The 20,703-nt window shown below is 43.9% G+C and overlaps 1 protein-coding gene across 8 annotated transcripts in view, besides 1 other annotated feature; it reads left to right on the top strand.

Annotated features, from left to right (window-relative positions):
- Nucleotides 2-191: a silencer, noted in NCBI's record as "silent region_15910". NCBI's record gives its function as "represses an Ori minimal core promoter by ATAC-STARR-seq in GM12878 lymphoblastoid cells {active_cell/tissue: GM12878}" and the evidence as "EXISTENCE:reporter gene assay evidence [ECO:0000049][PMID:35858748]".
- SEMA5A (semaphorin 5A) overlaps nt 125-20,703 on the top strand; it is a 511,043-nt gene continuing 490,464 nt past the window's right edge. For 5 of the 8 annotated variants that reach the window (XM_011514158.3, NM_003966.3, XM_011514157.3 and 2 more), the window contains exon 1: nt 125-616. The gene's annotated coding sequence lies outside the window, so the exon portion shown is untranslated. Of the gene's footprint in view, nt 885-20,703 lie in introns of all 8 variants that reach the window. The other 3 variants (XM_011514155.3, XM_047417865.1, XM_047417866.1) reach the window with 1 other exon arrangement.

Raw genomic sequence — 20,703 nt, 5'->3', positions numbered from 1 at the left:
GCGGCGCGGCGGCGGGGGCGGGGCAGGGGCGGGGCGGGGCGGGGGTGGGCCCAGGCTGTCCCCCGCTCCCCGCCCAGCGCTCTCCGCCCCGCGCTCTCCGCGCCCGCTCGCCCCGCGCCGATCTACTTGCCGGGAAGGCGGCGCCGGTGGCGGCTGCTCTCCCTGAGCCCGCTCCCGAGCGCTGCTTTCCCGCCGCGGGTGGGCTTCGCAGCCTCAGGCCAGCCGCGGCCCTTGGCCCGCTGCAGCCCCGGCCCTCCACCTTCCCCGTGCAGGGGCGGCCCGGCCAGTGTCGCTCATCCCGGGACGCTCCCTTCTCCCACCCAGGACTGCCCCGCGGAGCTGGCTTGGACACCCAACTTTGCCACCTCGAGGGTCGTCTCTGCTGGGCGCGAACCTGCCCACCCACCGGTTGGCCGCGCGCTCGGGGACCGTGCTCGTGGCCCCCAAGCCGGTGCCCCCATTCTGGAACTCAGCGAGTAGGGGGCGGCTCTGGGGAAGTGGCAGGGGGCGGCTGCAGCTGCTGCCTCCACTTCCCTAGCCAGGTGCTGAAGAGGATCCTCGGAGCCGCTCTGGCCCCCAGGCGCTGGATGACTGGCACCAGCGCTCCTCGCACCTGGTGAGCGACCCCCGCCCGATTCCTGCGTGGCCTTGGCAGGAGCCCCTGACCGCGCCGCGCCGCGCCGCGCCGCTGGCCGGGACCCGGGGACTGCAGCGGTCGGCTGGTGGGTGGTGCCGATCTCGGGTGGGATCCATCAGCAGGCACCTGGGCGGGGGTTGCGCGTACAGGATTAGGACGACCGTCAGTCCGGGGGCGCCCACAGTTGAGCTAGTGCACGGGCTGGAAGTTTGTGTACCCGCCTGTGCCGAGGTCTGAGCATGGAGAGGTAAGGAGCCGGAGTGTCGCGGTGGGCGAGACGGGACCCCTGCCCAACACCCGGAAAGGTGCGCACACTGGTCTGTGCCCGCCCCCGGCGCGCCTCCAGGCTCGCACTGCCGCGAGCCGGGGGCAGGGGACACGGAGGTCGGGACTTGGCGGTTCGGGAGCGGCCACCTCGCAGCCCCACCGGCTTGGGCAGGTTTTCCTGCTTTCCTTACAGGGGAACCGGGAGGCAATGGGACTTGGGCTCAACTCCGCCAAGCGCCTTGGTTAATGAAAGACACTAAGGCGGGGGATGCAGAGGCCTGGGGAACCACCAGCCAGGTGCGCTGCAGCTAGGCGAGCCCCTTTCACCAGGCATCCCTCCGCTGCTCCACGGATTTTGCACACCGCGGCTCAGGGTTTCAGACCCCAGGGTTTCGGGCAGATCGGGCTCCAGAGGGAATGGTTTCTCCCAAGATGTGCGTGGGAACGGTCGTGGAGGAGTGATTCCCCCGGCTCGCTCCCCGCGGCGGCCGGTGCCTGGCTTGGAGCGGTCACATCCCTGTTCCCCTGGCTTTGGCGGGAAGCGCGTTCACCTCCTCGCCCTTTGCTTGCTTTGTACCAGGATGCCGCGGCCGGAGTTGGGATTTAACTTTCCTGCGCCTGCGGCGTCCTCGGGATTCCCGGCAGGGGGCGCTGCGAGCGAGCGCTCGGAGGACGAGGCGCCACAGGCAGTTGCTGGGTCCTGGGCGAGTGGGCGGGAGTCCCAGGCAACAAACAGCAGAACCAGGCAGATCTTGCAATAATTTCATTTTGGGGGCCGGGGGTTGGGGGAGCTGATCTGGTGGCTATAGAGAGCTGTCAGCCTTGCTAGGAGAGGGGACAGGAAAGGTGGTGGCCAGACATAAATGCTCTAACTAGAAAGGTCTCTTCCAGAGAAAAAGATCGCTGTAAAGTCTTCCTTGTCTGGGCATCTGCCTTCCTTGTGACTGTTACATTTACTCAGAAAGAAATCGAAATTGAGGGAAGATAACGTGAGCTTTGTTTAATACCGTTCTGCTTTTTAGGGGTACTTTAGTTAACACATCAGGAGTCACAAATGATTGTTCTGGTTTGTTTTGAAGAAAGACAAGTTTTACGTCTAGCTTACCGAGAAGAGCTCTGTCATAATGGCTGAGTTTGGAATCAGCAGATATGTTATTAATTATAGAGGTAGTCTGTTCATAAGGAGACAGAAACACAAAACCAGGCTTTAATAAGAAAGATTTTTCAATACCTAATTAGGATTGCTGAATTTGTTGCTAATTAATGCCAGTTTCATTATTTTAGAGAGTGTAATGTTTATCATGACCACTTTACACAACTTCAGTTCAAGCAGATAATACCATTAAGTTATGTATAACTGAAATAATTTTCTTGTCTGTGCCTGTATTTACACCAAAAGAAACATGGATTTTTTTTTCCCCTCCAAAAGATTTCTTTTTCTATGTTTTTTTTTTTTTTTCATGAAAAATACAGCCCTAAGTGTAATTGTTTGGTTCACTTGAAACACAGATGTTTTTTCCCTTGAGTTTCTTTCTTGTAAAAACTTTGGAGATAGAAGCTTGCTCATCCACGTTGCTCCATGCAGTCACACTAAGCATCTGTATACTCATTGAAGTGTGGGGTTGACAAACTGACATCTATTTCTATGTGCTTTTAGCCAATATGTACTTTTATTAACAGGGAGAAGACAGATGATGCTAATCATTTTATGTCTTTTGTGAATTGCACTAACTCATTTGGTTGTTATAATGTCAAACAGCTGCGAGATCCCTGCTGCGAGTAAAGCTTTGGCCTCCTGGGTGGTAAAGCTTGTCTCTGTCCAGAGGAAATTTTTGAGACGTTCAGAATTTGGTAAAAATAAACCTGCGTTCTTCACTGCCGTTTCCCTTTAAAATGATTTCATCACGTGTCTTGGGAGAATGAAACGTAGAAACTTACAGCTCAGAGGCTGTTAAAACTTATTGACCACGAGACCGAAATAAATACAAGCACATTTATACAAACTTCTGCATAAATTTTAGAGTCATGGGCCTTCTGAAGCCCCGTCCATGGATTTGCAGTAAGAAATTTAGTTCCAGAGTCATGTTAGCCTCTTGCTGAAGGACAAATGTTACAACCAACAAGCCTTTCTCTGTACCGTGTGCTAGTGGCCCAAAATAACAGATGCCAGCTCTTTGGGGACAATGTCAGATGCTCCTGATGTTAGAGAGAGCTGCCTATCTGAATCGTGACACAGTTTTACTTAACTTGGTGATTAGTTTTAAGAGTTTCAAGTGATTTTATTTTTGGTCATAAAGTCATTGAAATTGAGCCTTTGCTTTTGATACAGGAAGATGTGGAGGAGGAGCAGAAAACCTTTACTAAATGTCCAGCCAAGAGTATAAAGGCATTGCATTATGTAGACAAGTGATCATGAACCCTAGAGTTAACTAATATCAAAAACTCATCCCAAGGAAGAGGTTTGAGCTACAAAGCAGATGGTGTGCAAGATAGAACAAATGAGTTTATAACATATCCCAGTCAAGGAATCCATTTTTATAGTAGTATATGTACAACTATTTGAGTACAGCAGCCGTACATCCTGCAATAAATCCTCCATAATTCTTGATTCTAAAATTATACCAATTTTGTATTTAAAAATGTTTCTGCAATTGTTGCTATAGTTACCCAGACAAATTGCTTGGGGTATAATTATACCAAGGTGACAAGTTTTTATGTGTTAAATAATGTTTAAAATGTAAATTATGGTGTCTAACAAATTGAGTTACAACTAAGTACAAAGTGTCTAAAGTGAAGCATTGTACATTTCTGCTCACCTGCATCTACTTGCAAATTTATACCAAGAAAGTTAACTGTTTTCTTGAATCATAAAATGAGCGTCTATAAGTACTTTCAGTTGTCTTGAGTACAGTTGACAACATAGATAATTTCACATATGTTCTCAGCAACCTTTTAAAATTGAGATGCAGAAGTTTGGTTGAAAATTAGGTTTTTATCACTCTGCTACCCTGCAGAAATGATAGGGGGCAATCTCCTGTTTCCAATTCCTGTATAGATTGGGAGCAACTTGGGGATAAATTCAGCAGGTGAGATGTGGCTGCTGGGAAGCACTTTGGAGAAACAGATATGGGTACGCTTGGTAAATATATAGCATATTTTTCAGATGAATTTTTTAAGAATTGGTTATCCAGATATACAAAATCAATTTCTGATAGGGAGAAAAGAAGAAAAAGCAAAATTAAAGTAAGCTAGAATATACATAAACTTTTCAATATAAATGAACCTGCTCAAAACTTGCTTCGATTCAAAATTGAAGCAAAATAGAACAAAACAAATGAAAACTTGACCCAAGAGAAGGTATTGGATAATAGGTAATTTATTTCAACATACTAGTATTGACAGTCTTTGCCATCTAAAAGGTTGTATAGCTAAGGAAACCAGGCTGTCCATTTCACAGAGTATTTTGAAGCCAGGCAACTTCAAAGACAAGTCATATTTCACCTTGTGCATGAAATTTAAAGTAGGAGTGACACAACAGTGGATCAAGAAAACAGAAAAATTTCCCAAAGGAATTGCTGTTGTCATCTTCTTTCTTCTTTTTTGGTCCAAGATTAATGGTTGTTTGACAAGAGCAAAGACAAGCACACTTTATTTCCCTTTCCTACATTTTAAAATGTAGTGACATAGTATTGCTGCATTTGGAAAAAAGAAAATCATTCTGTTTTTAAACTCTTTTTTTCCTTATTGGTTTCCTAGAATTGGTTTCCTGATTAACACTTGGGGAAAAAAAACTATTTTAAAAGAGAATAATTTTTTTAGAGGATGAAATTCTTTTATTATTGAAAGGTCATGAGCCCACTAATCTTTTATCTTCCCATCTTTCACTCATTATTTGTCACTGTATTTCTGTAGAATTGGCTAAACTAGGGTTCATGTAGAATAATGAGGAAGTATACACTGGAAAAATGTTATTTTATGTTACATTTTTATGTACAATTGAGAGTAAATTACACTACTGCAATAGGTAATTCAATTACAGATATGTATGATAAATAACCAGTAGAGTGATTCTATCAGAAGCCAACTCTGTGGGTGAAATAATACTATATTTGTTGAGACGTGAAATTAAGTAAGTTATAGGCGAGTGACAATCAGGATAACACAAGGACAAATCGTTCACAGAAAATCGAGCCTCTTTCAATCAGTTCAAATCCACCCAATGTTTGGCAAGGATGTATGATGTACTCATGGAAAGAAAAACAGAGTCAAGGAAAGCAACTAAGAAAAAATTTGCTAAGCAGTTTCCTGTGATCTGTCTGCAAAATCATAAAACCGAAACTTCTATTCTCCTGAATCACAGCAGAGATGGCATTCCTCACAAAGTGACTTCAAATAAAATTCCACACAAAGAGCTTTTCTTTCTGTAAAAACAAAACAAAACAAAACCGGAGATGTGACACGTCTTGCAGAGGGCCCCCAAAGCTGTTCTGAGCCAGCTACCAAGGCAGCTGACTCCTGCCAGTGCCCCCAAACCTGCTGTGGAAAGAGAACGCTTCGGAGGCCAGGGACATTTATGGTTGGGCATCCTGTAAACAAATGGATTTTAGAATCACAACTGGCTTCCGTGACTCCTTTTACAGGACTGAGATTTAGGTTTGTTGTAAAACTACTGATTTTCTTTTCTTTTTTTCTTATTTTTGAGACAGAGTCTTGCTCTGTCACCCTGGCTGGGGTGCAGTGGCGCGATCTTGGCTCACTGCAACCTCTGCCTCCTAGGTTTAAGCAATTCTTATGCCTCATCCTCCTGAGCAGCTGGGACTACAGGTGTCCGCCACATGCCCAGCTAATTTTTTTTTTTTTTTGAATTTTTAGTAGAGACGGGGTTTCACCATGTTAGCCTGGATGGTCTCGATCTCCTGACCTCGTGATCCACCCGCCTCGGCCTCCCAAAGTGCTGGGATTACAGGCGTGAGCCACCGCGCCCGGCCTTCTCTCCATATCATTTTGCAGAACTCCACGCACTGCCTTTATTTCTTAAAGTCTTTCACTGATACAGAATGTCAGCTTAGGAGACCAATGAGACTGTTTTGTTCGCAGCTGTGTTGCCCACGCTGCCTAGAACAGTGCCTGGCACGCAGGAGGCTCTCGGGCCATCTTGGGTAAGTGACCGAATCAAAAAATGCCCTTAGAGACTATGTATATAGTATAGACTGCAATAGAGTATACTGAGAGAAAGGACTAAGGCTTAAGCAAGACTTTTGGGGGCTAACCATGGACTCTAAAACTACTTATATTCTTTATTTAGAGAAAAATGTTCCAAATGCCTCCAAACTGATTTTTTAGCACAGTCTTAAAATACAAATGTCTTTGTAAACTGGCAGGTGGAGGGTTGGGAGAGGGACTGCATATTTCCTAGTTCCTAATACACAACAATTTGCACAGTAAGTCAGTGCTTGTTAAATGAATTGACGACCTTGCATGACTTGGAGATTAGCATAAATATAATTTCTGTGTACAGATTGAATATTCCTAATCAAAAAATCCCAATTCCACAATGCTTCAAAATCTGAAACTTTCTGAGCACCGACATGACCCTAAAAATGCTAATATATATAATACAAATATTCCAAAATCTGAGAAAATCCCAAATCTGAAATACTTCTGGTCCCAAGCATTTTGGGTAAGGGATACTTAATCTGTATTAAAACACAGAAAAATTGAAATTCAGGGATGTTCTCATTTAAAACAGCACCCTCTCCTCCAAGCACACAAATTCCAGGGAACATATTGTGTCTTTATTACATATGTTTACACATTACAGAGATTTTAGACATCCTAGAATATTTTAAAAATATGGCAGGCTTTTTCTTATATTTCCAAGATCAGACTAATAAGCCTAGTCATGTAGTTGGATTTATAGATTTAATAAGTTGAAACAGAAGAATAGGTAAACAAAATGTGGCCTATCCCTACAATGGGCTACTATTCAGCAATAAAACAAATGAACTCTTGATATATGCTGCAATATGTATGAACCTCAAAACCTTGTGCCAAGTGAAGGAAGCCAGTCACTGAAGACCACACACCATGTATTTCCATTTATAGAGATGCCCAGAAAAGGCAAACCCATAAAGATGGCAGGCAGGTGAGTGGTTGCCTCGGGCTAGCAGTGGGAACTGGACATGACTGCAGATGGGCAGCCTAGGCCTTTTGGGGGTGATGGAAATGGTAAGAAACTGAATTGTGGAGATTGTCATACAACTCTGTACATGTACTAAAAATCATTAAATTGTACACTTACAAAGAGTACATTTTATGGCATGTAACATATACCTCAATAAAACTTTTTTAAAAAGAAAATTCTGGACATCATCTCTAAAATTAGAGTAAATTAAACAGCCAGTGGCCTAAATACGAGTCCTGCTGCGTCTACTGGGAAATGTTTTCTGTGTTTACATTACTTGTACAAAGCTTAGCGCCAGGGCCAGTGGGTGCTAGGATGAGCACATTTCTTTGATACTGAAACACTTTCTTCCTGGGAAGTCTATCTGAGCTGTGATCTCTGTTATGAAAACAAGCAAACTTAGGTTGTTTCCGGATGCGACAACATAACCAGATTAAATCAGTTAAACTCATCAGCCAGCCTCGCCGCTGAATGTTGGGTACACCCCAATTCCCAGTCATTGCTTAGAGTATGCTTCTCTGCCAATTTTATTGTTTTATGGGCATAGCTCAGGGGGAACATCTTTGACAACACAGAATCTTGTGGTCTCATTAGAGCTGCAGAGTCTGGAACTCCTAGCATCATTCTGCTCAACAAATGAGGTTGCTGTCCTTTGATGGGGGAGAAGTTCATGATGCCTGCTTCTGTGTCCTTGTACACTTTCTTAGCAAGGCCTTCGCTTCAGCTGGAGTGGCAGGTAACTTCTAACAGCCAGACCCAGTGGCAGAATGCAGAGTTTTAAATGCCCAGAGCCTGAGTATTTAAAGGGGAGTGTTTCCCACCCCGCGCACCTCCCCCCGCCCCGCTCTTAGAGAAGAATCAAAGAATTGCTTCTAGCTCTTTCCATTCTGCTTTGGCACATTTTGCAGTTAAAATGTAATGCTGAATATAGGTTTTGGGTAGAGATACATACGAATTGCCTCTCATTTCCTTGCTCTTCCACTGTTTTCTCTGGGTAGAAGTGAGTGTCTTTAGCTCTCCCACCTTGTTTACTGCACCTTCCATCTGTTTAGTGTATTAAAATCCTCTCTGCCTCCTGCCACAGGCTTCCTCAGCTCTCTTGTGGGCACCTTGCTTTCCTCACACCAGTTGGTTTCCACATAGTGGCTTTCCATGGGAGTGTTTACTTTGGCACAGGTGGTCCATGGTCCAGATACACTCAGCATGGCTTTGGGGATGTGGTCCAGGCTAGCTGGCCTTTAGCACTCATATGCATTTCTCCACTGGTAATAGAGTATTTTTTTATCCAGCCCTGTGATGCTTCAGGCAAGCATTTTCATAGTGCCTAATTTCTTCAGTATTTCTAGTTACTTGTTCACAAAAATGGAGATCAACAGCGTTTTAAGTCCTAGTGCAATAGCTTTATTGACCTTTTGCCAGGGTCATTTCTGACCAGCTCACTTTGAACTTGCCTCTTTCCAAACATGAAGCCTAGCTTACAAGCAAATTAAGAGTAACATTTACAGAACGACCATGTTTTTCTATTACCAATCCTAAATTATCACCCTTCATGAGTGGTAAGGAGTTATTTATGAGGATACACTAATATTTCCTTCTGCTGATTAGATGGCAGTGGGGTGGGTGACATTTTTATCTTTCATACCACTTTTGATGGTTTCAGTTAGTCAATAAAATACTGTTTAGGTAGGTACTTTTTGTGGTTTGGTTTTCTTTCATTTTCAACAAGCTAATGTTCTCTAGATTTCAAGGATAACTAATTAGCCATTCAGTTAAACAGACTGGCTGGTTACAAGATTGGAAAAATGTCTGTGTTACCAGGGCAGGTATTTAGTTTTGAAACAGAAGGATTAAGAAAGCAAGGTAATTTTCCCTTATTTTAAAATCTCCTTTAATCATAGATTTGTATTGGTTCCGGTAGCTTCAGTTGATCATAATTAAAGCAGCTCATAGTGTTATGTATAGAATTATGTGAAGGCATTGTCCTAAGTGGATAAAATGTATTAGACCATTTTTTTTAATGATTTCTACTTTTTCTAACCATTTTCTTTTTTGAAAAGCATCCAAATGTTAGCCTCTAATATTGATTTTGGACACTCTAAGATGTATGGGATTTTAACCTTATTCTGACAGGTTAGAAGCTAGGGAAGGGCCTCGAATGTTCACTTCACAGCCTGGCAGGGTGCCCATGTCCAATGCCTTGTGTCTGCGGCACCTCCTGTCCTCCTGTCACTGTTCTGAAGTTTAAAATCAGAATATCTTTGCCAGTGTCAGTGAAGAGAAACTTCATTGAAGCTTGAGCCTAGGAGTTAAAGATAGACATTTTATTTAAGTTTAATATTTCCAGGCTGTAAATAGAAAAGAAAAATGGTGTTTTACAGAGCAGGGGTCCATTGTCCAGATATTATTGAGCCTTTGCCCAGGACAGGGTGTCTGGGTGATCTAAACTGGAAAGGGAAATCCTAGACTGCAGTTTCCTGTCTTTTTTTTTTTTTCTTTTTTGAGACGGAGTCTTGTTCTGTTCTCCAGGCTGGAGTGCAGTGGTGCGATCTCGGCTCACTGTAACCTCTGCCTCCCGGGTTCAAGTGATTCTCCTGCCTCAGCCTCCCAAGTAGCTGGGAATACAAGCATGCACCATCATGCCCAGCTAATTTTTGTATTTTTAGTAGAGACAGGGTTTCACCATGTTGGTCAGGCTGGTCTCGAACTCCTGAGCTGAAGTGATCCACCCACCTTGGCCTCCCGAAATGCTGGGATTATAGGCATCAGCCACTGTGCCTGGCCTCCTGTCTTTTTGCATAGGGCTGCTCTTCAGATACCCTTTAGTGACTTTTCCCCCATCTATCAGAGGAATTTTCCTTTTCCCCCTCCTTATGATTGTCGTCCTCTGGTTAATTTCTCTGCTAAACCAAAATAATTTTAATTATTATGCTCTTTGTTCACCAGAAAGTTTTGAGCCAAACCGTCCTCCCCCAAACCCATGTAAAAGTGGGTGCACCAAGTTTTGTGCTCTGTGTCTGATATTATCAGGTGTCTGTAAGCATCTGGCCACTTTGCTGTGGGATTCAAGCTGCTGCTGCTATGACAGGAGCAGGAGCACGTGTCCTTTTTCTCCTAGTCTTGTTCCTGGGTGGTTTCATGTTGGCGCCTATAGACAGGACCACATCTAAGTCAGTTCTGAGTATGACAGGCACGTATGGCTATTCAGTTACATCCCGACGTCTGCATCACACTGGACGGTGCTCTTGAGCTTGGGAAGATCCAGCATCTGCCCGTGGGGTAACTCTCTCCTGGCTTGCCGCAGGGCAGTAGAGATTCCCTCCCTTCTTCATTCCTGGTTCCTGGTGGGAAAAATCTGGAGTTTCCAGGCTATGCTTCTTAAAGGCCCCCCTCTTTTCCATCTTTGAATCACTCTCACTTCCTTCGCCTCCTTACTCCTCAAAGGTGGTGCTGAGCAAGTGGGAAGACCTGAACCCAACCCAGGTGGTTGAGTTGAAAGTATTCCCACTCTGCCGATCCACTCCTCCCTGCATTTTTTTTTTAAACAACACATACTTTAAACTAGTATTTTTTTCTAAAGCTTTCTTCACCTAAGAATGTCACACTGAATGTCAATTGTGTAGCGGTCGTGGGTGGGTTGGGAGAGTGGAGGTGAGAGTTGGGAAGGAGGGGCCCCATATAGAGAGAGCATCTCAGCGTGTCCAGGCAGCCCATCTTGGCTGTTGCAGCTTTCCACGCTGACTCCGAAAGTCAGGCCTGGAGCCAAATTTACTTTCCGTCTGCCAGCAGTGATGGAATTCCTAGGTTCTATCACCAGCTTGCGAAAAGAAATCATTCAGGAAACTGCAAGCTGGCAAGTAAGAATCGCAAAGATTCATTCACTTGAAAGCTTACGCCTGCGAATGTTACTTAACTTTGAACAGTTTTTCCAGGCCCACCTGCGGAGTTTCCAGCTCCCTGAGGTTTGTCTTGCTGCATAGGAAAGCCCTTAAGGATTCACAGCGAGGATCTTCAGGATGAAGCTGGGAGGTGGGAAGAGCAGAAGGGCTTTCCCGGGGCTCACACCTCATTCAGCCCTGACCCGACTTTGCAGTCAGGTCGCTCTCTACAACTTCAAGGAGTCAATGTAGGTGCTTGGACTTTAGGTCCTGAAGTCTTACACAAGTCAGGACAAGAGTCAGGCTTCACTGTGGTTATGTGCCCTGTCCATTGAAATCCTGAAAGGCATTTTTAAAGAGAGTATCTATTGAGGAATTGTCTATTGAGGTAGGCTGAAGGAAATCAATGTTTTGAACTTGGACTATGGCTAGAGGAGAAGACTGACTTGCCCAATGTAAACCCCAAATAAAATTCTAAACAACCCCCGCCCCATGCTGCCCGTGCCACTGCCACTGCTGTGCCTGTGGAGTAGCCATTCTTTTATTTCTTTGCTTTTAATAAACTTGCTTTCACTTTATGGACTCGCCTTGAATTCTTTCTTGCACGAGGTGCAAGAACTCTCTCTTGGGGTCTGGATCGGGACCGCTTTCTGGTACCATGATGTTCCATGGGGATGCAACACTGGCTGGCTTGCCCCTCAGAGTGGGCTCCATCATGGCCCTTAATAAGTCCTGGCTACAAGATCACACCCAATGATCTGTAATCAAGAGTCCTTTTAATTAGTGGTGGTAACACATGGACTTTAGTGCAGTTTTGGATTTGTTGCTAAGTGTTTTTCAATGAGCTTTTAATTTGTTGTTGTTTAATTAAAAGTGTATGTTCTCTGCAGAACAGGCTTTTGGGCCCACACTTCCTGCCTTGAGGTTTTTGGAGCTGGCCCTAAGTGGGGAGAATAAGCATCTTGACTGGGGGTGTGGCAGCGTCATCATTAAGAGTCGGGGGACAAAGGGCGCAATTAGTGAATTGCTCATAGTGGGGCCTCATGTGGGAGGCCCTCAGGGCCCAGTGGCCTTTGTGGATTCTTTAATTGCACTTTTAAGTGAGACAGAGTTGGCTACTGGGTTTAATTAAGCCTTCAGGGCTAAACCTATGAACACTAATCAAAAGCAGGTTAGGGAAAGCTGCTTTCTTGAAAGTTTATAGGGTCACTCGCTTTTATCTTTGTTCCTCTTCAGGTGAGTGCTGGTGTATCTTTTTCAACACAGCTTTTGGGGTTGACTTTGACTTCTGCTGGTTTGCGGTTTTGCTTGATAATTGCAGTGGCCCAAATATGTTGCAGTTTATGTCAGATGTTTTAAAAACCCATGAGGAAGGGGGCCACGGGTTCCAGCTCACTCGATCTTTTGTGTCTTTCCTATGTGTGGGAAGAAAAAGTTTTTGTAGATATATTTATAGAAAAGAATTTGGCCTTAGACTTCTCAGAATTGGTAGAAAGCTAAAGGAATTTGTATAAAGACATAATTAGAGGCACATAGGAAACTTGTAAAGTCTGCATGTTTGAAATGCTTTGCTTCTCTGAGCCATTGGGAGTTTATTAGCTGTTTCCTTTTCCCACATTAACTTTCACATGATTAATTGGATTCACTTAATTAAATGCTCTATATTTAAGTAGAGTGGAGGCACAGGGAGTATTCTGAAAATAGTATCAATTGTTTCATACTGAATATTTTAGATGAATATTTTATACCTAAAATATACAATATGGTCTGTTCATACTTGGAGAAAAGACATTAAATTCTATATTTACAATCTTTTACTATGTATGTAACCTTTTACACTAAAGTGAAAGGTCTATTTTAAAAATCTTATGGACAAACTCGAAAATTCCGTATCATGAAATTTGACTCCTTTCCTGCATTCCAGAGGAGCAAGCCAATGTTGTAACTAGGAGCATGTCTCTGTTGATGCCACAGTAAGTTGAAATGTTCAGAGGGGTAGCTGGGCTATTTTTAACAAGTTCAAATGTATCCTGTGGTGGAATATTTCCAATGATCCAAAATTAGTGATGGTATCTTGGACACCACAGTATCATGGGCTCAGACGAATTGGCGTGTTCAACATCTTTCAATTGTCAACCTAAATCTAACACTAGGATTGATGGCTTTGGTCAAAGGATGCTTCATTCTTTGGAGAAAACAAAAGAATAACCTCTATTTGTAAGCATGGGGGTTGGAGGCTTTGGAATTAGGTGCTTGACAAAGTGAACACTGCATGAAATTGGGAGCAGTTGCAGGCTATTAGAAGATGACAGTCTTTTGGTGGTAAGGACCATTAATACCTACCAAGGACATGTTTATTGTATTGGCAGGGAGCATAAAGGAGAACAGCTGAGATTTTTCCCCTCACTCTTCTCTTTGGTTTACATGAAAAAAGTGTCAAAGGAGAAGCCTGGTGGAGAAAGGGCTTGGCTATCATGGCAACCTTTATCTGTGGAAAATAAAAGGAAGATACAGTTGCCCTCTGTGAAAAGATCTGTGATAACACTCGTCCCCAATCATCGGAGAGACAAATGACCATTTCTCTTTGAAAGAATTATATTTACATTTCCCCATGTCTAGAGAAATGCCTTCTTATTAAATACACATGCAGGTCGGGCACAGTGGCTCATGCCTGTAATCCCAGCACTTTGGGAGGCCGAGGTGGGTGGACCACCTGAGGTCAGGAGTTCGAGACCAGGCTGGCCAACATGGCAAAACCCCGTCTCTACTAAAAATACAAAAAAAAAAAAAAAAAAAGAAAAAAATTAACTGGGCATGGTGGCAGGCACCTGTAATCCCAGCTACTTGGGAGGCTGAGGCAGGAGAAATGCTTGAACCCAGGAAGCGGAGGTTGCAGTGAGCCGAGATCACACCATTGTACTCCAGCCTGGGCGATAGAGCGAGACTCTGTCTCAAAAAAAAAAAAAAGTTCATTGATTACTGTTTTTCCCCAAGGTTTTTTGTTCACCTGTAAAGTAATATGTAGTTGATAAGAGGATGGGGGGGATATTTAAGATCTTTATTCTGACAAACACTTTCTGTTGTCCTAAACTGATGTGGCAGATAGGATAGATTTGAGTCAAAGAAAGGGATATGGATTTGGTGAATTATTGTGCCTTATTCATTGAATATTGACTGCCTTCAGGTTGATAAAAACATTCCATAGATTTCTAGAACCTGGAAGACACAACTGAGGTTTTCCAATTTATCTCTTTGTCCACAGGTAGGTCTTTTTCTAAACTTCATAGAGAGATGGTCATCTATTATCTTCTTAGAGAGGGGCTTATGATGGGGTCCCATTATAACTTGGATCACTTGTTTGCTTTTAGTGTGTCTTGCTCCAGCAAAGATACTAGGGTAAATGGTAGTATTTGGTCTATGAAGCAGGATATTTACTAGAAACTTTCTCTGGGACAGACCCTAGGCTCTGCCCTGGGAAGACAGTGTGTAGAGGCTAGAGATGGTTTTTCCTCTCTCGGTATCTGTTTTCCAGTTGGGTGTCCCTTGTCCTGGCATGGATACCATTTTTTGCCAGCGTGCCTCAAGGACCTGAACCAATGTTGCAGGTTCAATTCAATCAAACCCTGAGGCTTTCCTAGGAACCTCAGGGCAGAATTGCAGTGACAGCAGGAGAGAGGAAGAGTGGGGTGTGGGACAGTGAATGACAGAAAGAGTCCTGTGTGTCTGCATGCCCTGAGGGAGCTTCCTCACTTGCTGGGGCTGAAGGAAGCTTCAAAGGTACATGCCCATCTGGCACAGATACACTGTTGGTACTTGCCCAGGGCTCTGAGAGGACCCTCCAGCTCAGGGTACACAGCCACATCTGTCAAACCACACAAAGCCAGGATATGGTGTCTGCAGATATAGTTCCCTACGAATGTAGGTGGCCTGAAGACCAGAAATGGTCTCAAGAGTGCCAAAGAAAAGATAGAACTATTTACAGTCTTCCTTTTCAGGATCATAGAGAAGTTTGGAGCTGGTCACCTCTCTAGGACCTTGTTCTGGGGGCTGTTTCTGGTCAGAGTGCTTGATGCAGAGACCTTGATATCTGATGTGCTCGAGGTCTCACAAGGACTCCCACGCAAGATGCTTCCTGGAGTTTTTTAGGGACAAAACCCACATTATTCATCTTCATTGCAAGATGACCTTTTCCAGTGTTGAAAACACTTTGCAGTCAGGATAAGGAAGAGGAGGCTGACCTTTCTGGGAATGGAAAAGCCTCAAGATGTGAAGAGGGTACTTGGAGCTAGAGCAGTCAGGTAATGAAGCTGCTTATAACTCACTTCTAAGGAGGCTTCCCTGCTGACTGGCGGCACATTCTCGCCTCTCTCCCTCCGATTTTGTAGCTCCTTAGCATAGGAGTTGGGGTTTCCTGGAAAGCTCCTTTTCCAGGTGATTCCATTGTGCAAGTCAAGATTCCTTGATTAGCCTCTGAGCTCTGGAGAAGGATCTCTCCTCGCTTCTACTGCCCACTATAGATGCATCCTGAGTGCAGCTGAGGTCTGAGTTGAGTGGTCAGAATACCAAAGACTATTTGCATTTCTCAAGATGTGGGCAAATGCAATTAATTAATCATTTCTCCTTACATAAGGGCTTGTGAACCAGAATAATTAACTTCTATTCTGTTTTCTTCCTTTTGTCCTTTTATGTAAACCTGAAAGAGAAGCACCTGGTTTGGGGATACATTTTGGCAAATAACTTTAAAATAAAAAAAAAGAACATTTTATTATTTATTTGGTCAGTGTGTTGGTTGAGACTGGAAGAGTTTATAAATTTGCATGTAGTTTCTTTTTGGATGTTTAATTTGGATAAATGTATTTATGCTGTAATTATCCATCAAATTCTGTGCAATCTCAAAAGACTACATATAAAAATGTGAATATCATACAAGATGGAAATCTCTGAACTCAGCTGTCATCACAAGCAACCATGTGTAAGCACATTTTTTTTTCTTTTTAACACATGATCTGTCCCTCCATGGTATAACTCAACACAGCAAACAGTTGCTGGCTTTGCTTGTGGAACGTATCTGTGGAAATGGTCGCATCTAACATGGCCAGAGGAGGCAGAGAGTCAGAGCGGCAAGAGTTATGCACAAATGTCCATCCTAACGCGGCCCGCACACCTCCCTGGGGCTTCCCAGCCTCTGCCTTGCCTTTGCCTGCTCTTCAGAGCCTGTGCTGGCTGCTGAGCCTTGTCGAACACCAGGTATTGAGGCTATTTCCACGTGACACCTTTCGGATCTGATGGTACTTGGGTTTCAGGGAACTATGCCTAGGGCTACAGGTCCAATGATACAAGGGAAGATGAAAGAAGGGAGGATCTGAGTCTTCTAAGACTGGAGAGAAAATGTGGTAATAGCTCAGGTTGCCAAAAAGGATTTTTATTCCACACTTCCTACCCCCACCCTCTTCTTGAGGAGCTTCACGTAGAATGAATGAACAATAGGAAGCTAAGTTCATATTTACTTTCATATACCCATGGATTTTATAAGGGTTTAAATACTAGGAGGAGTCCGGTATTTGAAAGCATGTTACTAGTTTATAATGTGAAGGAAAAAAAATTCTGGCCCCAGTTTAGTAGATGTCTTAATACTGTTGGCTGGCAGAGGCCTATAGGTCAATGTCTGAAATATTCCTGGAATATGAAGATTACATGTTTTATTTTATTTTAATTGAAATATATTAGTAGTAATTTCAGCTCTGTAGCTCAGCATGACATAAAGGCCACAGTCCCATACCCGGAAGCTACTGGGAGGAGCTGTGCAGCTGGTGGGTGTCCAGGCAGGGCAGGTCACGCTCTTGGCTTCCCACAGGGGCAGGCTGCCCACGAGGGCTGGCCAAGTAGGATCCTGACCTCTAGGAAAGGTGCCGAGAAGCCTGGCAGCTGGGGAGGAGGCTGTGGGGACTTCTGCTTCAGCCATGCAGGGCGGAAATGGTGAGAGGCAAAGCTGGCAGGTGCAGGTGGGTAGCCCTTTCACCAGAGGCTTGGCCACCATCCCTAGAGCACACGGCCACAGTTGGGTGGCAGTTCCTCAGACCTTGATGGAGCTGACAGCTGGTTGTGCTTTCAAAACTGGAAGGAGTGACTTGTGGTCATAACCAGAACCATCTGGATACAGTGCTACCATGGGTTCAGAATAGAAAAGGCAGCTCTTCTGCCTAGCTCTTTGGATTTCTTGTAAGTACAAAGTCCTACAAATAAAATCACCATGACCTAAGAACCAGCTATCCCTAAAGCCCTGCCTGGTCTCTGGAGCCAGGTTCTCCTGAAATCTAGAGACTCGTGGCTCCCAGGTGAAACTGTTCTACCTGGGAATGTGAGCAAACAATGTAGTTCTCTTATCTTTTTCCCTCTTCCCAAAATAAAATGCATTAAATAGGTAAACTCATTTGTTCTGGAGATCTATTGGTATACAGAAAATTTTCCCATAATTTAGTGACTTAAACCTGCAATTTGTTATTATGTTTCACAATTCCTTGGGTGGACTGGGCTCAGCTGAGTGGTTCTCCTTGGGCCTCATGCAGTAGCAGTCACCTGGTATCCTGCCACATGGCCTCTCTGTCCTTATGGGAAGGCATGGGCTTCGATACTGGAAGTGGACGTTTCTAGGCCCTTTAAAGGCTGTGCCAAGGACAGGCATAGGACCACTTCCACTGTATTCTACTGGTCAAAGCAGTCCTAGGGCTCAGATTCATGGGGTTGGAGAGAGTGCCCATGGACAGGCAAGTGGCAAAGCACACTGCAGAAGAATTTGTGGGTGGGGAGACTGTGCTGAGGCCATAATGGAAAATGCCATCTCCCACCCCATTTCTCATGTTTAGTGAATAGGAACCCAGAAAAATAAATGTGTAATCAGGGACCTGAACTTGTAGCCTGAAGCCAGGCTGCCCTAGGACTTCTTGGGGACCTTCGGTTGCTGATGGCTTGAGGGTTCGTTGCTAAAAAGACCATGGGAAGAAATTGCTATAGTGTAACTGAGGGCTGACACCATTTTCTTTAGAAAATTGGGATGAACTGTGTTCTAGGTCAGTCTCACTAAGTAGATATTCATATTTTGCAAGCTGAAGTCTTTGGTAGGCAGTGGGAACTTACCTAAGTTGATCATATTCTATTTCATTTCTATAAAGACAATGTTTGGAAACTGACACATGGACACATAAGGAAATGCTACGTGCAAATGTCATATTTACAAATTACAAAATAGGTGATTGTTTCATAAAAATAGATATTTTTATTCTATGAAGAAGATTAGTTGCAGGATGTCTTTAAATATCAAGATCTTCTAGGCCTTTTCACTGTAATTTTGAGGCAGTATAAAGGTAGTGGTTAGATGAGCAGATTTTGGATCCAGGTTGCAGGCTTTGAAGCTCAGTCCTGCCCCTTGGTAGCTGTGAGGACCTGAGGAACATGCTCAATCTCTCCATGCCCCACTTTGTCCAATTCTAAAATGATAGCAATAGTTCCTACCTCATAGGGGTTTTGCCAACATTAGAAATTGTTAATGCATGTAAATTGCCTGTTCCATAGTGAGCACTCCATAATGTTAGCAAGTATTACTTTGTGATGATTCAAGAAATAGAAATTCTTGTTACAAGCTGAAGTGTGGTTTAATGTCTTTGTTCACTTGAAAGCACTTTGCAAAATGCAGTTGAATCGCCACCTCTGTTTGGTCACCTGCACAGGAACACCCACACAGAGAGCGAGAAGGAAGATGAGAGGAAAAATTGGAATTTGCTAAAAATAAAACCAGGGCTTGGAATTGTTGCTTGACTTTGCATAAGAGCAAACATCTCTTGATGGTAGGAAAAAAGAAAGAGAAGTATGCTGGGCATCTTCTGCTTATCCTTCCAGATCCTCTGGAGCCTCCTCCAGGCTCTGGACTGCATTGAAGTCTTGCTAGCCCTCTGCTTCTGGTTGGCTTTTTCCCTTGGGGGCCATGGAGAAGATGAGAGGTAGAAGGGCTTGTGCTCTGAGGGGTCTCCTAGGTCTGGCTGCATCCTTCCACCCAAGGCCTCAGCACACTCGGGACCTGGTAAGTGCTCACTCCTCCCACTCTGTCAGGATTCAAGGTGATAGCTGAGCCCACTGTGACTAGCCCTGTCGCTGCACTATCCCTTGTGTTTCCCTGGCCTCCATCCACACTTTCCGTCTTACACTCCCCTTACCATACCCAGGTGGAGTTTGCCATACAACCCTTCTGAGACCCTGGGAAATGTCTGTCACCAAGATAATGACCATTAACATCAATTTTCAGTTGGTTTTGTGATTGCAAAGGGGAACAGCTTGAGAAGTTAAAAACTCCAGCATCTTTTACTGAGTATGTCAAGAGCTATGTAGATGCATTGTCTTATGAAGTCACTGACAGCCCAGTAGGGTGGGTAGCTTTCCCAGTTCTTGAGTTGTCACCTAAAGCCCACAGTGCTAAGGCAATTTCCAGCATCCTGACCCTCTGAGCATTGCCTGCAGGCCCTGTCTCACTGGCCACCAGCAAAATGTGAACTAGGGGACGTGAATGTACAGCTGAAGCCAAGCTGCTCCGGGGCTTCTCCGGACCTTCAGTTGCTGATGGCTCAAGGGCTCATAGCTAACAAGTTCATGAGAAGAAATTGCTGCAGTGTAACACCATTTCCTTTAAAAAATTGGGAGCAACTGTGTTCTAGGTCAGTCTCTCTAAGTAGATAATTCTTACTTTGCAAGCTGAAGTCTTTACCAGGCAGTGAACAGCTGGTTTACATAATTAAAGGTACCTGTGAATTAGTTTTGAAAAAATCAATGAACTGTATGACCCTGTGACAGCTCTTATATATGTGGTTTAAGATACATTTAATGTCAGGTTGATAAACATGCACATATCTATTTAGCTATTAATTTACTTACAACACATCCCACTTGGCTTTCTAGTTTAATGTTAAACTTAAATGTTTTTAATATGCTTTTGGATAATTGAAGTAAATGGAAAAGAGGAGAACTTTCCTCACTCAAGCAAATTCTTCTCTACCTTTCAATATTTATAAATCCCTGGGAAGCATTTGGTAGTAAGACTTTGCAGCTCGATGTACAATGCAAGCTTTATAGCAGGTTATGTTTTGGCTGTAATGTGTGGCCTATTAATGAAGCAGAAAAGGCTCCTTTTGATTACTTTTCTATTTGATAATAACCCCAAAGGGATTCCCAACTCTAGAACTCTCTATAAATCTTTAAAGTGTAATTACTGCAATCATTGGAGTAATTATCCTTTATCATACAACCCTAAAAAGGGCCACAGGAATAGATATTCTGAATAATATAGTTTTTGCTCTAGACTCAATTATTTCACATCTATCAGAAATTAATTTTCCTAATATAACTCTTCTATCATGCTGTTTACATATCCTTCTATTGATTCATGCGTAAAGAAAAAAAGATACAATTTCTCAGTCTGGTGTTCAAAGAATTTTGATCTCTGAAACCTTATCAAAGTTTTCTCATTCTAGTTCTACTTCATGTGAGGATTTTAGCAGGGACAGGACCTGGAACCAAATGGGGGCATTTTGAGGTGTCCCAGTGATTGAAGTTCTGGAGGCCAGAAGTCTGAAATCAAGGTGTTAGCAGATTGGTTGAAAAGGCTCCGAGAGACAAGTGCTCCTGGTATTTGGGGCCAAAGGCCAGTACAGCCATTATCATCCTCGCCATCCCCTGGGTCCTTGTCCCTTCTGTCC

This window comes from Homo sapiens, chromosome 5, assembly GCF_000001405.40.
Source record: "Homo sapiens chromosome 5, GRCh38.p14 Primary Assembly".
Lineage (NCBI taxonomy): Eukaryota > Metazoa > Chordata > Mammalia > Primates > Hominidae > Homo > Homo sapiens.
The sequence above is the reverse complement of the archived record's forward strand: the minus strand, read 5'-3'. Positions and strand labels throughout refer to the sequence as shown.